The sequence below is a fragment of the Homo sapiens genome, chromosome 13, assembly GCF_000001405.40.
Source record: "Homo sapiens chromosome 13, GRCh38.p14 Primary Assembly".
NCBI lineage: Eukaryota > Metazoa > Chordata > Mammalia > Primates > Hominidae > Homo > Homo sapiens.
In genome coordinates this window covers 32,634,269-32,652,884 of record NC_000013.11, presented here as the reverse complement: position 1 = coordinate 32,652,884, position 18,616 = coordinate 32,634,269, and the positions used below count along the sequence as shown (strand labels likewise).

At 36.7% G+C, this 18,616-nt stretch overlaps 1 protein-coding gene across 8 annotated transcripts in view, besides 2 other annotated features; it reads right to left on the bottom strand.

Moving 5' to 3' along the window:
* PDS5B (PDS5 cohesin associated factor B) overlaps positions 1 to 18,616 on the bottom strand; it is a 191,568-nt gene that overhangs the window by 125,135 nt on the left and 47,817 nt on the right. For all 8 annotated transcript variants that reach the window (XM_005266298.5, NM_015032.4, XM_017020452.3 and 5 more), the window contains exons 2-3: positions 4,005 to 4,131; positions 878 to 1,081 (exon numbers count right to left, since the gene is read on the bottom strand). In XM_005266298.5, coding sequence (XP_005266355.1) covers positions 878 to 1,081; positions 4,005 to 4,112 — 312 coding nt within the window. In that variant the 5' untranslated portion in view covers positions 4,113 to 4,131. The remainder of the gene's footprint in view (positions 1 to 877; positions 1,082 to 4,004; positions 4,132 to 18,616) is intronic.
* Positions 1,894 to 1,983: a silencer, noted in NCBI's record as "silent region_5252". NCBI's record gives its function as "represses an Ori minimal core promoter by ATAC-STARR-seq in GM12878 lymphoblastoid cells {active_cell/tissue: GM12878}" and the evidence as "EXISTENCE:reporter gene assay evidence [ECO:0000049][PMID:35858748]".
* Positions 6,605 to 6,714: an enhancer, noted in NCBI's record as "active region_7564". NCBI's record gives its function as "activates an Ori minimal core promoter by ATAC-STARR-seq in GM12878 lymphoblastoid cells {active_cell/tissue: GM12878}" and the evidence as "EXISTENCE:reporter gene assay evidence [ECO:0000049][PMID:35858748]".

Below are 18,616 nucleotides of genomic sequence, written 5' to 3'. Positions count from 1 at the left end.
TCCCCTTCTCATCTTTTAAAGATTTTGCATTTATATAGTTTTACTTACAATTACTGTAACCAAGTACCACATGTCTTTTGTACCTTTCCATTAAAATTTTGTTCACTGAATCTTTTTTTTTTTTTTTAATAGAGATGGTCTCACTCAGCCCAGGCTGGAATGCAGTGGTGCCATTTTGGCTCACTGCAACCTCCGCCCCCCGGGGGTTCAAGCACTCCTCCCACCTCAGCTTCCCAAGTAGTTATGGGATTACAGGTGCACAGTACCACACAAGGCTAATTTCCTTTTTTTTTTTTTTTTTTTTTTTAAAGTAGAGACAACGCCTTGCTATGTTGCCCAAGCTGTCCTCAAACTCATGAACTCAAGTAATCATCCTGCCTCGGCCTCCCACAGTGCTGGGATTACAGGCCTGAGCCACTGCGCCTGGCCTGTATTTTCTTCATAACAATGTATAACACAATTTATAACACAAATATAACAATTTATATCACACCTTCCATTAAATAAATGAGGATTATATATTATAAACTCATGTTTATACTAGGTATTATGTTTTAAATAATGGCCATGGTCTTCAATATGGATTTTCAAAAGTGAAAAGGAATTGCCCCCAAAATTATAATGAAAGAAACAGAGCTAATGATGACATGATATAAAAAAAATACACACTGTATTAATCTACTTCTTAACCTCAAGACCAGAAAGTTTTTCAAAAATAAGTTCTAAAAAAAAAAAAAAACATTAAGTTTAGCAAAAGATTACTGTAGCTAATGTCAAAGAATCCAAGGAAATCATCTAAATACCTTAACTCCCATTTTAGTTAGAAAGATAAATCAAAGTATCGGTCAATCTTGGAGTTATTTAAATCAGTACTTGCCTTTAGTTTATCAGGGGATGTGTAAGGAGCTTCAGGAGCATAAATCCTGAAAATATCAGCAAGGCAGCAGGCTACCAGTAAGCGAACATCTTTATCAGGATGCTTGAGAAAAAAATCTGAAGCAAGATGTAAAGCTAGGTTTAAATAAAGCTCCTTTTCTTCTTCAGAGTCCTGGTCCATATCCATAAAAGTTTTCACAACCATCTATACAAAAATAAAAAATCAAATAATGAAATGCTCCATGTAAAACTACAGTCATGTGAAATAAAGGTCATGTTAATTGCTAAGGTTAACTTCAAATGAATATACTTTCATTTTTCTGCAGAAAGTCTCTATTTGAGAGAACACAATTCTCCTAAAACTACAAAGTAAACTTCTATTTAAAAGACTTACTAAAATATTTTTTCATTTACCCAAAATATCTGCTAACCAGATTTTTAAAGATTAAATTGCCCTTATGTAGTAGTCATTATTGGAAGAATTCCAATAGAATATTTGTGGAAACTTCTGGTCTCACTTGTACAACTGGACTAAAAGGAGTATGTCCTTAAGAATACCATCTTTTTTAAAAATAATATTTCTAATCCTTTCATGAGAAGAAAAAGTATATGCCTAAAGAAAACCCTAAGATGACAATTTAATTTTCCATTTAAGTCATTAAACCACTCCAGTCACATGGTTTTATTTAAGAAAGGATGTCAAAGATGCATCCCTCAACACTGAAAAGCTACTATGAAGTATCTACCACGGCATCCAACAAAATATTTCTTGTGTGGCAGTAAAAGAGAATATGATGTGGATAATTCATTAATTCAGTTGCACATGTGAGTTAAGACAAAGGAAGCTAAAAGAAATGGTTCTTTTTTCAAAAATATTTCTATAAAAGGTGAATAGAAAATAGAATGGTATACCATGAATTCTCAGAAGAGCTTTCTCTGATTTCAATATTAGTAATTACAATGATGATCTCAGTCTGCACTATTCCTACTTTAAATGAAACAAAATTGCCTAACTTGACAGGAACTGACATTTAAATACAACTCCAATGGAAAGGTGACCATCCAGCATCCACTAGGTGGTGCTGCAAATACTAGGCAACAAGTGGGGCTGGCCACAAAGTATCAATGTTAAATGTCTTGGTCCTTTATGCTGCAACGATTTCCACTTGCCATCCAGCTAGACTTCTGAGTAACAAATGGCTCGATTTCTACTGAATTCTCAGAGCAGCTGTGGAAAACACTGCTCCTCACAGAGCAGCCTCTCAGTTCTATTATGCCAGATACCAGAACCAACAGTAGACTAATCCTTGCAACCTGGCACTACATTTAGATTAAGGGTATGATGTCTGGGTCTTTTAGCTTTTTTATTTTATTACTTTTAAGATTTATGCTTTGATTGCCTATATGTTTAGGAAAAACCACAAAGGGTAAAAAAGAACTGCATGCATGTAACTATTTATTTCTGTAGCTCTCTTAACAAAAGATAAGAGATTAAGCATATTTTGAATAAAATGTTACAGGAAAAAAAATTTTATAAACAGTATCACCTTACACGTTAACAAATTGTTATAATGTATAAAACTTACATGGGTATTTGTACATATCATCCTACATAATTTTTTCATATTTTTCTAAGAAGGAGGATGCTAAAAATGGAACTATAAATTAGGAAAATAAATGAGAAAAAAGTATAACTGGATTACTGCTAGACATAAATGTCTACAAAATAATGAAAGCATATTACAAACATTAAATATGAGTACTGAGGCAATCATTCCACCAACAATAACCACAAAGTTTGTTCAAGGTCCAGAAAATGGGAATTCCTCACTACTGTCTACAACTCAAATGCTGTTATAAAACTCATTAATAACTCATGAGTCCTCCAAATTAGGAAAGAAATCTGAGAAAATAACATCTCTAAAAGACACTAATGCTGATCAGTTTTAAGTGTAGGCTCTGAGTTCAAGATTAGTTTCTCAACAAACAACAGGAATGCTCACTTAGTATAAACAAATATAAGGTAATAAATGTATTAGTTTCTCTAAAAATGCAATAGGTCAAGAGAAGGTAAATACATAGAAAATGAAACATGTCATATATAGAAGGGATTCATAGCTTGACTATTCTTAATAAAATACACACCAGTTCCCAACTAGATAAAATATCCACCTATTAGTAAATTTAATCTGCTCAAAGATGATTTTCCTTTGAATAAACATCTGATATCTGACATTCTGATACTTTAAGTATAAACACATACATGTACAATATTAAGACTTTATGTGAAATTTATGATAGTATTAGCATCTTTTTCTCTTTATAAAAATTCTATACACCATGTAGCAATAAAGAAGAGTATTTGTTTTTAAGCCCCTGGATCTTCAATGATTAATTTGGGAACATTTTTCAGCCCTGACATCCAGATAAATAATAATATATCAAGCAACATAAATATCTAGGTAGATACAACCTCGATCGGAAATGCTCAAAAATAAAGACCATCTAAACTAACTAATAGACCAGCTTAACATTCTCCTTGAACACTATGCTTCTTTATCCATTTTAACAATTACAGAGATCACCACCACCCTAAAGGAAAAGGTGAAAATATTATTCAAACACATATGAAGAGGCCCTAGCCTCATCCATAGAAGTTCACCAGCAATCTTGATTCATTACTACATGTCAGAAGCAGAGGAAGAAGCTTAAAGTGAAGCCCTTTGACCTACTTTGAAAATAACTTACAAGAAAGTAGTACACAGCCTAATTACTCAGTATAAAGACCTAAAACTCCCTTAAAGTGGTTGTCTTTAGAAACTATATAGAAGAAAGGAGACAACTTTGTATAGACAATAAGGAATATGAGTATTGTAGACTTGTTCTTTATACCCAAGTATAGGAGATCCTAGAAAATCTAAGCTTCACCTAATTGCTGTCCCTTTAATCATAGCCAAATAATCCCCACTGTACCTTATATACTCTACTCCCTTAGATCTTTTCTATGCCATTTGCTGCTTTGCTTTGCTTTTTTAAGTTACCCCAACAAGATACATTATAGCCCCATGTGATTTCCACAGGGGACCTCTGCCCTACACAGATGTAAAAAAGAATAGAATTTTACTCACCTTTAATCGTCTCACCATCTCCTCTTTAGATATTTTATCTGATATTTCCTTGACCCCAGGCGGATATGTAATTTTTCCATCATTGGTCCTAGTCTTTGAATGAGCCATGACAGAAATATTTCTACCCCTGAAACAAGAAAACTATTAGATGCAAACCAAAAAATAGATATAAACATTCTTAACAAACATAAATGGTAACCTTCCCCACCAACCAAAATTTGTAACTACCTCCTAATTTATAGTAATTTACTTTACCATTTAATGAAAATCACTCTATTGAACATTTCCCCAAATTATTTTTAGAAAAACAAAACTTATTTTTACTTTCATTTCCTCAGTGGCAAGCTTTGTTATTTGTCCTAACCCTCCAACTAAAAATAATAATAATAATAGTAAGCTAGAGAAAAATAAAAAATAAATACTTTTTAAAAGCACCACAAAGTACTCAAACTAAAACCTAAGAGAAAATAGGAATCCAGGGAAGTAAGTGGGAACACTGGGACATTATAGCTACTTATACTCTGAAAGCATTTTTCATTTCTGACAAATGTGGGATTCAGTTTTGATGGTCTTATAGGGCAAGGGGAACAGAAGTAAATCTGAACATATCAAGGCAGACAGTCAAATAGGAAACTCTCCTGACATTAATGTAGGCCACCACCCTACCCAAAGAAGATATACCTGCAAAGGAGAGGGTAAACTAGAAATGAACACCTCTTTTCCCCAGCCCCACCCCCTAGAGGGAACCGCTGAGAAGGCTGCCTTGGTGCTAAACAGAGAAAGGCAACATGAATACAGGGAAGGAACAGGTAATTAGTTTTGGCCATGGGCCTGCACACTTGCTGGGGCTGACATGACCTAAGTGGCCCAGAGAATCTCAAAACATGAACTCACAGACCCCTGGTTAATAACAGCCCCAAGCACCTAACATAAGTAAATCCAAGTCCTGCCTAGAGAAGGGTGCCTTCATCCTAAGTATCAAAGAATCCCCACTATGATGTTTCTAGAACAATGAGCAAGTATCAAGTCAAAAATAACCAAGCAACTATGAGGGAGAACCAGCAGAAATACCACACAACAAAAACAGACACAATTTTTGTGTCTATCAAAGACTGTAAAACTACTATAATCTTAAAGAAATAAAAGACAATTCCAAAAATATCTACAGGAAACAAAAAAAATTATAAAGACTAAACTAGAAGATTTTTTTTAAATAGAACTTCTAAAAATGAAAAAATACAATTACTGAAATTGAAAATTCAACAGGTCAATGTATTCGCAGATACGAAAAACCATTAAAGGCCAGGTGGGATTGCTCACGCCTGTAATCCCAGCACATTTGGGAGGCCAAGGCAGGCCTTTTGAGCTTAAACTTTGAGCTCCAAAGTTTAAGAACAGCCTGGGCAACATACCAAAATCCCATCTCTACAAAAAATACAAAAATCAGCCAGGTGTGGTGGCACACCCCTGTAGTCCCAGATACTCGGGAGGCTGCAGTAGGGGAGCTGCTTGAACCCAGGAGGTAGAGGTTGCAGTGAGCTGAGATTGCGCCACTGCATTCCACCTGTCTCAAAAAAGAAAGAATGAAGTGAAAGAAAGGTCATAAGAAATTATCCGGAGTGCAACACAGTGAAACATACACCTGAAATACATAAGGATAGAAAGGCCTAAATGTAGCCTACAATTCATGGAAGTTATAGAGAGAGAAGAATGAGAGATTCACTCATGGGATTCATGAGAGTACCAGAAGGACTAGATTGAAGCAGAGGCCAAATACCTACAGAGAATATCATAAAATACCAACCTACAAATTCAGTAAGCCAAACAGGGTTAAATTTAAAATAATAATAATTCCAGAAAACAAACAAAATTTAGAGCACACACAGTACCTTGAAAGGAATAGCATTTAAACTAACAGGTGACTTCTCAACAGCAACAACATAAGCCAGAAGACAGCAAAATGTTATCTTCAAAGCAGAGAAAGAATATAACTGCAAATCTAGAAGTTTACAACCAAGGAGTATAATTTTTAAGTGCAGAGTAAAATAAGGGCAAATTAGCCAAATGAAAACTAAGAGGTGTAAGTATTTATATATAAAGTACCTACAACATTGCTTAGCACATACTAAGTACTATATGTGTATGTAATATACACAATCAGGTTAAAAGAAAAGATTTTTAAATTTCAACATAAACACCTTAAAAGACAATGAAAAAAGTGGATACATGCTGAAAGTAAAAGGATGGAAAATTATGTCATGCAAACACTAAAACCCGTTAAGCTAAATATCAAGTTAAAAAAAAAAAAGATAAATAGGCCCCAGATTCACTCTGTGGTATTTACTCAATAGAAACGTATAGTTTGTCCACCGTAAGACATATAAAAAAATGTTCACAGCAATACCATTCAGTTGCCAAAACAGAAAACACAAATGACCATCAACACTAGAATGAATAGCAATTTGTAGTATAGTCATACAATGGGGGCAAAAAAAAAAAAAAAAAAAAAAACACAGCCATGAGAGAATAAATCATTGCCTCACACAATAATATGGATTAACATTACAAACATCTGGATGGGCATGATGGTTCACATCTGTAATCCCAGCATCTGGGAAGGCTAAGGCAGGTGGATCACTTGAGCCCAGGAGTTCAAGACCAGCCTGGGCAATACAGTGAGACCTCATCTCTACAAAAAATAAAAATAAATTAGCCAAGCATAGTGGTGTGCACCTGTGGTCCCAGCTACCCGGGAAGCTGAGGTGGAAGTCCTGCTTAAGCCCAGGAAGTCAAAGCCACAGCAAGCCATGATCACACCACTGCACTCAAGCCTGAATGACAGAGTGGACCTTGTCTCAACACACACCACACACCACACACCACACACCCACACACCCACACACACACATCAAAGTGAAAGAAGCCAGACACAAAACACTACATAAGAGTATGATTACATTTATAAGCTCGAAAACAGAGAAACCTAATCTATGACAGTAAAAGTCAGGACAGTGATGTTTTGGGAGACAAATGTTAACGGAAAAAGGGGTGAAAAGATACTTCTAAGATGCTAGTTACACAAGTATTTTCACTTTGTGTGAAGTCATATAGAGCTAAAGACATAAGTTTTACACTTTCCTGAATGTATGTTATACTTCAACAAAAAGCTTAACAAAACAGATAACAAGAAAAGCTCCAGACATTTACATTTTTTAAAGCACTTCTTAATAATCAATGAATCAAAAGAAAACAAGCGTAGGATCAACAAAGTCAAAAATCACAGGTCAATCTTATAAATTTGATAATATAACATTTGAAAATGTAGATAAAGCTGAGAAACTACATCTTATTACCAAAACTAACTCAAGAAAGAAAAAAATGATTAAGAAACAAAATCAATCATTAACAGATCTTTCCACAAGGAAAAATATCCAAGTCTAGATGGCTTTACTAGTGAGTCCTGTCAAATAAAGGAAGAAATATTTCCCATGTCATACAAATAGTTCCAAGAAATGAAAAACAAGGGAATCCTTCCCAACTAGTTTTAAGCAACTAATTAGCATAACTCTGACAACAAAACCCAATGAGAACTATCAGAGGCCAGGCACAATGGCTCCTGTCTGTGATCCCAGCACTTTGGAAGGCTGAGGCAGTAAGACTGCTTAAAGCCAGGAGTTCAAGACCAGCCAGGGCAACAAAGCGAGATCTTGCCCCTACAAAAAAATTAAAATGAATAAAAAATTAGCCAAGTTGAGGTGACAAGATCACTTGAGGCCAGGAGTTCAAGGATGCAGTGAGCTATGATTGTGCCACTGCACTCCAGCCTAGGCAACACAGTGAGAGTCTGTATCTGAAAAAGGAAAAGAAAAAAGAAAAGAACAATCAGAGAAAATAAATCACAGACAAATCTTAATCATAAATGCAAAACTCCTAAACAAAATATTAGGAAACCAAATGCAGCAATATATTCATAAGTGTTTATCCCGGGAAGGCAAGGTTAAATTCATCACATCAACAGGCTTAAAAAGAAAATCATATTTAAATTATATACTAAACAGATTTTTTCAAATCTCAATAAATTAAGAAAAATTTGGTAAATTCAACAACTCATGACTGTAAAACAAAAACGAAACAAGAAACAAGTTTAGTAAACTAAGAATTGGGTGAAAGTTTCCTTTATCTGAGATAAGTAGGATGCTATAAACACCCTACAGCATAAATAATGTTTACTGACAATCCATTAAAAGCTTTGTGTTCAGGAACTACAGGAACATACCTACTATCATCACTTTTTTTTTAATTTGACACTGCAATAAAGATGCTAATCAACAAAGGAGGGAAAGAAAAAGAAATAAAGGGTATAAGGATTTAAAATGAACCAGTCGTTATTCACAGATGATATGTTTACATACATAAAAACTTCAAAAGGATTTACAGATAAAACATGTGAATTATTAAGACTGAGTTTAGCAAGGATGAAAAGTAAAAAACATCAATATAGAGATGTTCCTCAACTTACAATAAGGTTACGTCCCAATAAACCCATTGTAAATTTAAAATATAGTTAAGCCAAAAGTGCATTTCTATCATATGTCAAGAAACATACCAAATGTGTATTGCCTTCACACCATCATAAAGTCAAAAAATTGTCCTAAGTTGAACCACCATAAGTCAGGGACATCCATAACAAGCATAAGTCACCAACAGGTAACAACAGGTAACACAAATACTTAATGGTAAAAGACTAAATGCTTCCCCTTTAAGATCAGAAACAAAGAAATGATGTCTACTCCCAGCACTTTTATTCAATATAATGCTAGAAGCCCTAGGCAGCACACAAAGAAACAGAAAATAAAAAGCATACATATTGGAAAAGAAACTGTCCCTACATCCAGACAACATGATTATCTACACAGAAGATGCCAAAGGAATCTACAAAAAATAAACTACTAGTTCATCGACGTTCCAGGATACAAGATTAACATCCAAAAATCTGTGTTCCTCCTGTGCATAGTCATACATCACTTAATGATGGGATACATTCTAATAAATACGTTGTTGGGGAATTTTATTGTTGTGCAAACATCATACAGTGTACTTACACAAACCTAAATGGAACAGACTACTACATACCTAGGCTATATGGTATAGCCTATTGCTTCTAGGCTACAAACCTGTACAGTATGTTACTGTACTGAATACTGTACACAACCGTAACACAATGGTAAGTATCTGTGTATCTAAATGTATCTAAACATAGAAAAGATACAGTACAAATACAGTATTATAAGCTTATGGAACCACCATCATATATGCAGTCCATCACTGACAGAAAAGTTGTGTGGTACGCAACTGTATATGAAAAAAAGTGGTAGCGATAACAGGAAAGAGCAGAGAGAATACAATAAAAAGTTCTGAAGACACTTTCATATCTAAGTTTTTTAAAAAGGACACTGTACCTATATTTCACACCATATACAAAATGAATTCGAGGTACAGTAACAACTTAAATATAAAGGCAAAGTGTTAAAAGCTTTTAGAATATGATAAAAGAGAATAGCTGCATGACTTCAGGTTAGGAAAAACACTAGCAAGAACCAAGTTCATAGTTACATTCCTTCAACCAAAGAAGATACTCAGCCAATGCCTAGGACAAAGCACTCCAGGGAAAGATTGATAAATGGATTGATAAATGTGATAAGCTTCTCTTCCACTGAGTCTGGAGTGGAAGAAAGTCTCTCTGCCTTATTTCAGAGACAAAAGCTGTTCATGATTCATAAAAACAAATACATGAATATGGCCACAGACCACAGCTATACAATGTAGACAGAGTGACCTTGTAAAATATACTCATCCATGTAACCAAAAATTTATCAAGCACCTCATATGCAGAACACAACAGCAGAAACTACAGAGCAAAACACGTAAAATGGGTCTCAAAATCCATGAAGAGAAACAGACATTCCCCTAAATAAGTGAATCACAGTTGATTCTGAAATTATCCTAACAGAAATAAACAACAAGCTTGGAAAAAATAAGACTGAAAGAAAAACCACTTTTGTAAGTGGACAGGGGTAAAGTGGTAATAATACACAGAATAAAAAGACAGAAAAAAACATTCTGAATAAATCTCAGAGAGCAAATTTCAGTTACTGGACCAGAAGTATGACTGAAGGAAAAGGTGGAAGGAAGTAAAGGGAGCTAAGACGGAAAAAATAAAGAGACAACAAAGAGGGAGGTTACTCAATTTGCACTTCAGTCTTATGAACAGCATTGTAAGGAGAGGTTTGAAACACCTCTGTGAATATACACAGGTTGTTTTTCCTATGAGTAAAACATACTGGCCCTTGTCTACTAAGCAAACTCTATAGACCTTAAAGTCTCATTTTAACTTTTTCTGACCTCAACCAGGCAGAGCTAGGCTCCTCCCCTACAGCTAGTCACACTTTGAACCTACTACAATTAGCAATTATCACATTGTATCTATTGTACTTATTTCTATCTTTGTCTCTCCCACTAGACTGTAAGCTCCTTAAGAAAAGTAGCATATAACATTTATGCTAGCATCTATCTGCTAGCATCTATCGCAAATAGCTACTATCAGTAGTAGGCACTCAGGAAATAATGAATGAATGAACGACCAGAACTATTCGAAGAAATTATGGTTACAGCAAAAAGTAGAGCTAGACACAGGAGAAATTAAAACAAGTTAGAAAACTACTGCAAAATTCCAAGAAAGAAGTAATGAGGAACTGACTGTAGGCAATGACTACAAAACAAGAAAACTGATTCAACGACTTACGAATGATTATACCAGAGAAGCAGAACATGATTATAAGATTCGAAACCTTTGTTCCTAGAAGGCCATTTATTTAAATATTTATTGAGAATTTGCTTGGTGCAATACACTAAGTACTAGGAATACAATGATGAGCAAATGTACAAGAAAGAGCTCTGCCCTCGTTGTAATGGAGATGGGGGAAAACCCAGAGAGAGAGATTAAGTCTTGGGAAAAATAAAGTTTGCTCTAGAAGGCAACTGTAGATTATACATCTAAAGTTCTAGAAAAAAAGTGTAAAATGAGAAAATATTTTTAGAACAATTTATTGTTCATGCTTTATGGGTTTACAAGATGAGTAAAGAAAATGAGTAGGGTGAGCTGAGATACCAACACTAAACCTTAATGAAATACCTATAGTGATTGGGGTGGTGGGAGCCCACAGGGGAGATAAAGAAGGAAAACAGAAGAAAGTCAAGAAAATGGCTTTAGAAAAATGAGAGTAATTGTTACAAAAATCTACGGAAAAAATGTTTGAAGATGAAGGGACGATATATAGTGATATTACAAAAACCTAGGCAAAAATGTTTGAAAATGGAGGGGTGACATATAGTGATGATCACCCTCAGTGAAAACATACAAAATGACTTCAGCAAATACTCCCTTGAACTTGACAGGATATTTGAGAAAAAAGTGTCCAGAAAATGATGGGAATGAATACCAAATTACGAGATAAGAAAAAGGTGAAAAGAAAAAAGAGGAAGCAGAAAAGGAGCAACACAGAAGAAGAGGGTATCATTAAGTCAATGAAAAACAGGTATTGATACAGAGCTGCTCCTTAAACAGAATGTCAAATAAATGATTTGACATATAATAGTTCCTTTCATCTTTGGGGAATCTCAACCATTCACTATTAAGGTAGAGCAAACAAAAAATGAAAAATAACTGCACTTAGAAAATAGTCATATAAAACTGGCCTATATCAGACTCTATTTTATAAACTATAGTATATTACAGAAAAATGTGATTTTTTTTTTTTTTTTTTTGAGACGGAGTCTCACTCTGTCACCCAGGCTGGAGTACAGTGGCGTGATCTCGGCTCACTGCAAGCTCCGCCTCCCGGGTTCACGCCATTCTCCTGCCTCAGCCTCCCGAGTAGCTGGGACTACAGGAGCTCGCCACCACGCCTGGCTAATTTTTTGTATTTTTTTTAGTAGAGATGGGGTTTCACTGTGTTACCCAGGATGGTCTCGATCTCCTGACCTCATGATCTGCCTGCCTCGGCCTCCCAAAGTGCTGGGATTACAGGCGTGAGCCACCACACCTGGCCAACAATGTGCTGATTTATGAGTTTCTCCATTTAAAAAATATAAACTTTAAATTTACCACCAATTAATAGTAAAACTATAACCTAGAATTTCCCTTCTTTCAAAGGGTTATTTGAAACAAGCATTTTCAGAAAACAATTCAGTTCAAAAATTATCATATGCATATTATTATATTTACATTTTTATGTTCAGCATGAACAGTAAGCATAAGAAAATATTCTAATACTAGGCCATGCACAGTGGCTCACGCCTGTAATCTCAGCACTTTGGGAGCCCAAAGTGGGCAGATCACCTGAGGTCAGGAGTTTGAGACCAGCCAGGACAACATGGCGAAACCCCGTCTCTACTAAATATACAAATATTAGCTGGGCATGGTGGCGCATGCCTGTAGTCTCAACTACTCAGGAGGCTGAGGCCAGAGAATCACTTGAACCTGGGAGGTGGAGGTTGCAGTGAGCTGAGATCGTGCCGTTGCACTCCAGCATGGGTGAGACAGCGAGATTTCATCTCAAAAAGAAAAAAGAAAAGAAAATATTCTAATACTAAAGTTTTTTTTTAAAGTTCAAATAAAATGATCATTAATTAAATATATGAGAATCTTTTAATCACACTGAGTACAAGAAAAATCAATGAAATGGTCATTCTTTAATATTATCAGACATAAATAAATGTTCATAGATGTAACTAAACAAGAGACTGTAGTAAAAAATATGTAAGATATTTTCACTGAATAGAAAAGGAAAACAAAGTACTGACTAAAGAGCAAGAGCAATCATAACAATAAGCAATCCTATTTTTTAGTTGATTTAGGCATCCAAATCAACAAATAAAGACCGGCATCTGCCAGTTTCATGTTGATTTTTCTTAAAAATTCACAGTCACAGAAATCAAATCAAACCACTACTAGAATCCATACTGGGCCATGTTAATTTAAAGCTGTTTTTCCTTCTGGGATTTCACTCCAGGTTTGAGGTGGAATTCAAAGGAAAACATAAGATTTTGTAAAGAGTCTGATATAACTACAGAAGGCAGTCTTCGCCACAACTGCTACCTCTTGCAACCAGCAGATGGTGCCCTCCATAAAGACAACTCTTCAGTACACAATAATTAAACAGTGTAAGAAGTTTAGCTTATTCTTGTTGAGGGACAACCAAAAATCTAATGGGAGTTTTTCCTACGAGAAAAAACGCTAAGTAAATTATGCTATTCTCCCCTAAGCATACAACTTGAAAGCCCTGTTTACATATTTTCCAACTGTTTAAACAAAAATCTGCCTTTTTCAACATACAATTTTTTGACTAATCTACCATGCAGTTTGAATTAATCTTTATTAATTCAAAATCAGTGTATTTATGTTATTCCTTATTTGTTCTGGTAAAACAGTGACGGTGAATACTTTAGGAAGTTCTTTTAGAAACTGGACCCTTTCTTTGAATACATATTTTTGTTAATGTTTATTTGTAAAAGGGCAAACATGGTCACTTGCCTACATCATTTTTTAAGGACCATCAATGTTATGGAAGATACTAAAGTTTAACTGGCTCAAACAGAAAAGGAGCCCCAGGCCCTGGAATATCTCGACCTGCATCAGTTTCTAACCGCACAGAAAGTGTTCTGTTAAATCTCTTTAAAGTAATTCTTGTATATTAATAGTGATAATATCTCTCATTTATTGAGTGATTAGTATTTCTCTGCTCAGTAGTCAACTCGATATCCCATTGTGGGGGGTGGGGGGGTGGATAAAATTACGAATTTTTCTATTCACGTCAAATCTCCAACACACATTCTTGTACAACGCCGCCCCCGCCCCACGCCCCCATGTAGACTGCTGTTGCTTCATTGAGAAAACAGAAGCGCCATCAAACGGAAACCCTCAGCCTCTTATTACCCAATTTACATGCCTATGTACATTTGCACCCATTCCCTCCCTTCCCTCCTTCCCCATTCCTTCCTTCCCTCCCTCTTCCCTAATACCAGAAAGGAAATAGCCCTCCTCACATCAAAACACTAACCCCTTCATAAGCACACAAAATCCCATCCTCTACTCAAAGACTTTTACTTGATTAGTTATCTCCTCTTTCCCCCGTATCAGCATCCTCTGTGTCTACTAGATACTCTCTCAGCATTCAAATATATTCTGTTATTGGATGGATGGAAGGCATTCAGGCAGGAAGGGAAAGAAAATACAACATACCTGTTTAGACTACAAATACCTCCCCTGCCTCAGGTATTGTCCTCTCTCCCAAATTACCTTCACAGACAAGCTTCTCAAAGAGTAATCTATACTATCTACTTTCAATTCCCATTCACTATTCATATTAATCCAACCTGGCTTCCAAAGAGTTCCCCACCCGCACACTCCACCTCATCAGCAAAATGCTTTTGCCACAGTCACTAGCAGATTGCAAAAAATGACAACAAATTTTTCCATTCCTTGTATCTACACCCTTACAATGTGACTTTGCTGCTCCTCCCATCAAGAAATAAAAGTGTTTTTTCAGACCTAGAATCTGAGATGGCGTTATGACTCTTTTAGGCAATGGGACATTGAGAAGTTTAGTAAGTGTTTGTGCTCTGGGTTAGCTTACCTACTGCTCTTGGAATTCTGCTATGGAGATGTCGGCAAGTCCAAGCTATCCCAGTGGAAAATTAGAATGTATATGCACAGAGGCACATTGTCCCAGCCATGGTCATCATGAACAAGCCAGCCCTAACCAAATCACCAGGTGACCACAGAGGCATATCTGTAGATGCATAAGCAACCCCAGCTAAAATCAGCTAAGCCTGGTCCAGATCAGTAGAACCACCCAGATAAGCCAAACCCAAATTGCCAATATACACAATTGGGAACAGTTGTTTTCAGTAAGTCAGTCTTCGGGTGATTTGTTATGCAGTAAAAGCTAACTAAAAGTCATCAGTTGACCTCTATGTTGCCAAATCAAGTGAACACTTTTCTAATCCTTATTTTATTCATCTCAGCAGTATGATACACAGTTGACCGCAGCCTCCTCCTTGAAACATTATTTTCCTTTTGTTTCTTCTAGTAACACATTGCCTTTTCCTGATTTTTTCCTACCTTACTGGTCATTCCTGTCTCCTTTGATTTCTCTTCTACTCAACCTCCAAATATCAGTTAACTCATCAGAGTTCAATTCTCTTTTTACTGTTTATGTTCTTCTCCCAAGGCTTTTGCCCTAAGCTTTCTTTTAATACATACTCCATAAAGATCTCTCTTTTCAACTCCAGTCCGCACATACAATTGTCTACTTAACATTTCCACTTGGGTATTCTCAAAGATACCGCGAACTCAAGATACTCAAAACTAAACAAAATGTCTCCCAATTTTTTTCTCCCTCCAAAAAAATCCTCATTCTTCATTCCTCTCCCTCTTCAGTGTGTGTTGCCTTCATGTACCCATTTCTTCCTCACAGTTTTCTGGGAATGAAGCTTGGCAATTCCCTTTCAATATTTACAATCAACAATCAAATCCTATAAATGCTACCTTGCAAAATGTAAATGAAATCATTTACATTACTTCAAAATGTAAATGAAATCATTAGCCATTACTTCACCACAACATAAATCTACACCACATCCAACTCATTCTTCAGAGAGCAACCAGAATGATCTTAATAAGCTAATCTCTTCATATCACTGCCTTACTTAGAATTCTTAAATAGGTTCTCACTGCCCTTCGAATAAGTTCCAAATATACTAATCTGACCATTTGCTCATTACACTCCAGTCACATCTCTATTCCTTGAAGACACTAAACCAAGATCCTTCTGTCTCAGGGTGTGCTATTCCTTCTGCTTCAATAAACTTTTTCTCTTCTCTAGCCCTCATGCCTGGCTAACACTGCTCTTTCAAGTCTCACCTGTCAATCAGGGAAGCTGTCCCAAATCTACTCAGTCTAAATAAAATCTTGACTGCATGCTCTCACACCACCCCTGCACTTTTGCTTCAAAGAATTTATCATAAATGTAAATACAAATTCTCTAATGTGTTTCCCCTTCTGAACTGTAAACTATATGAGAAAAGTTTAGGGATCCTAATTTGTTCACTGCTACATACCTAATGCATAACACAATGCAGGTTAAAAAGCAAAAGCTGAATAAATGTTCTTACTAAGATGAACTATATAATTATGCCCATTTATAAACAAGGAAACTGAGGTTCAAAGAGGTTAAATAACTATGCTAAAGTTATCAACAACTGAACTTAAATTGAGCCATATCTGATTCCAAAGCCTATGCCCTTAACCTAATGGTTTTCCATCTCTGGTGCACTGCTGAATCCTCTAATAATCAGACCCAAACACTTCCATATGAAAAAAGCTCCATGAGGAAATTTACATGCCAAGTTTAGTAACAAATGCCTTAACACTACAATATAGTGCTAATTCTGCCTACTATCTCTGTAAGCATTTCTGATACTTCATATACGTAAGCATGACAGCTTTAATTTTTTAAAAACAGATCATGGTTTTCAAAGCTCTTTCATGCACACATTTTCCTTCAAAATTCTATAAAAGTAGGAATCATCCCTATGTTACAGATGAAGAAAATGAAGTTCAGAAAGCTGACGAACTCGCATACAGTCACCCTGTAGTAAGTGGCAGAGCAATGACAAGAGGTCAAGTTTTCTCGTTTTTACTTCAGGCTCTTTAGGGAATGCTGAATTGGAAATTAAGAATCAGAATACTAGGCCGGGAGCGGTGGCTCACGCCTGTAATCCCAGCACTTTGGGAGGCCGAGGGAGGCAGATCACAAGGTCAGGAGATCGAGACCATCATGGCTAACACGGTGAAACCCCGTCTCTACTAAAAATACAAAAAAATTAGCCAGGCGTGGTGGCGGGCACTTGTAGTCCCAGCTACTCGGGAGGCTGAGGCAGGAGAATGGCGTGAACCGAGGAGGTGGAGCTTGCAGTGAGCCGAGATAGCACCACTGCACTTCCAGCCTGGGCGACAGAGCAAGACTCTGCCTCAAAAAAAAAAAAAAAAAAAATCAGAATACTAAAAAATCGGAGCAAACTGAACAGAAACAAAAACGTTAGCCCAACCAGAAACTCAAGGCACAAAGATATTTTAGCTTAATTAGGCGACTACAATGGCACTAATCAAAAAGGCCAGGCCAGGCACAGTGGCTCACGCCTGTAATCCCAGCACTTTGGGAGGTTGAGGCGGCCAGATCATGAGGTCAAGAGATCAAGACCATCCTGGCCAACATGGTGAAACCCCATCTCTACTAAAAATACAAAAATTAGCTGGGCGTGGTGGTACGCACCTGTAATCCCAGCTACCTCGGAGGCTGAGGCAGGAGAATCACTTGAACCCGGGAGGCGGAGGTTGTAGTGAGCCAAGATCATGCCACTGCACTCCAGCCTGGCACCAGAGCAAGACTCCGTCTTTAAAAAAAAAAAAAAAAAAAAGACAGGCCAGGCATAGTGGCTCACACCTGTAATCCCAGCACTTTGGGAGGCCAAGGCAGGAGGGTCACTTGAGGGCAGGAATTCTAGACCAGCCTGGGCAATACAGTGAGACCCCCCCATCTCCACAAAAAAAAAAAAAAAAAAAAAAAAAAAAAAAAAAAAAAAAAAAAACGTAATTGGCTGGACATGGTGGTGCATGCCTGTAGTCCTAGCTTCTCAGGAGGCTGAGGCAGGAGGATGGCTTGAGCCCAGGAGTTCAAGGCTATCATCAAGTTACTGCACTCCAGCCTAGGTGACAAGAGTAAGGCCCGGCCTCTTTAAAAAAAAAAAAAAAAAAAAAGAGGCAGTAAGAAATATTGCTGAGGTTGTGAAGAAACTGGAACCCTCATATTTTATGGGAATGTAAAATGCTGCAGCCATTTTTGAAAAACGTTTCACAGTATCTTAAAAGGTTAAATGTTGGCTGGGCACGGTGGCTCATGCCTGTAATCCCAGCACTCTGGGAGGCCGAGGCGGGTGGATCACAAGGTCAGGAGTTAGAGACCAGTCTGACCAAGATAGTGAAACTCCATCTCTACTAAAAATACAAAAACTAGCCAGGCGCAGTGGCAGGCGCTGTAATCCCCGCTACTCGGGAGGCTGAGGCAGGAGAATCGCTTGAACCCTGGAGGTGGAGGTTGCAGTAAGCTGAGATCGCACCACTGCACTCTAGCCTGGGTGACAGAGTAAGACACTGTTCTCAAAAAAAAAAAAAAAAAGTTAAATGTAAACTTACAATATGACCTAGCAATTCCCCTTCTAGGTGTCCATCCAAGAGAAAACCTATATCCACACAAAGACTTTTACCAGAATATTCATGGCAGTATTATTCATAATGCCCAAAAACAACAAACAATCCAAATGTCTATTAACTGGTGAATGGATAAACAAAATGATACTAATTGGAATAAAAAGGAAAAAAGTACTGAAACAAAAGTGAATCAACTAGATTCTGTGCATGTACATATACATGTGCACATATTGGTGAAGGTGTTATAAAAGAAATTGGGACCAGTTAATCTAAGGCTTTAAGT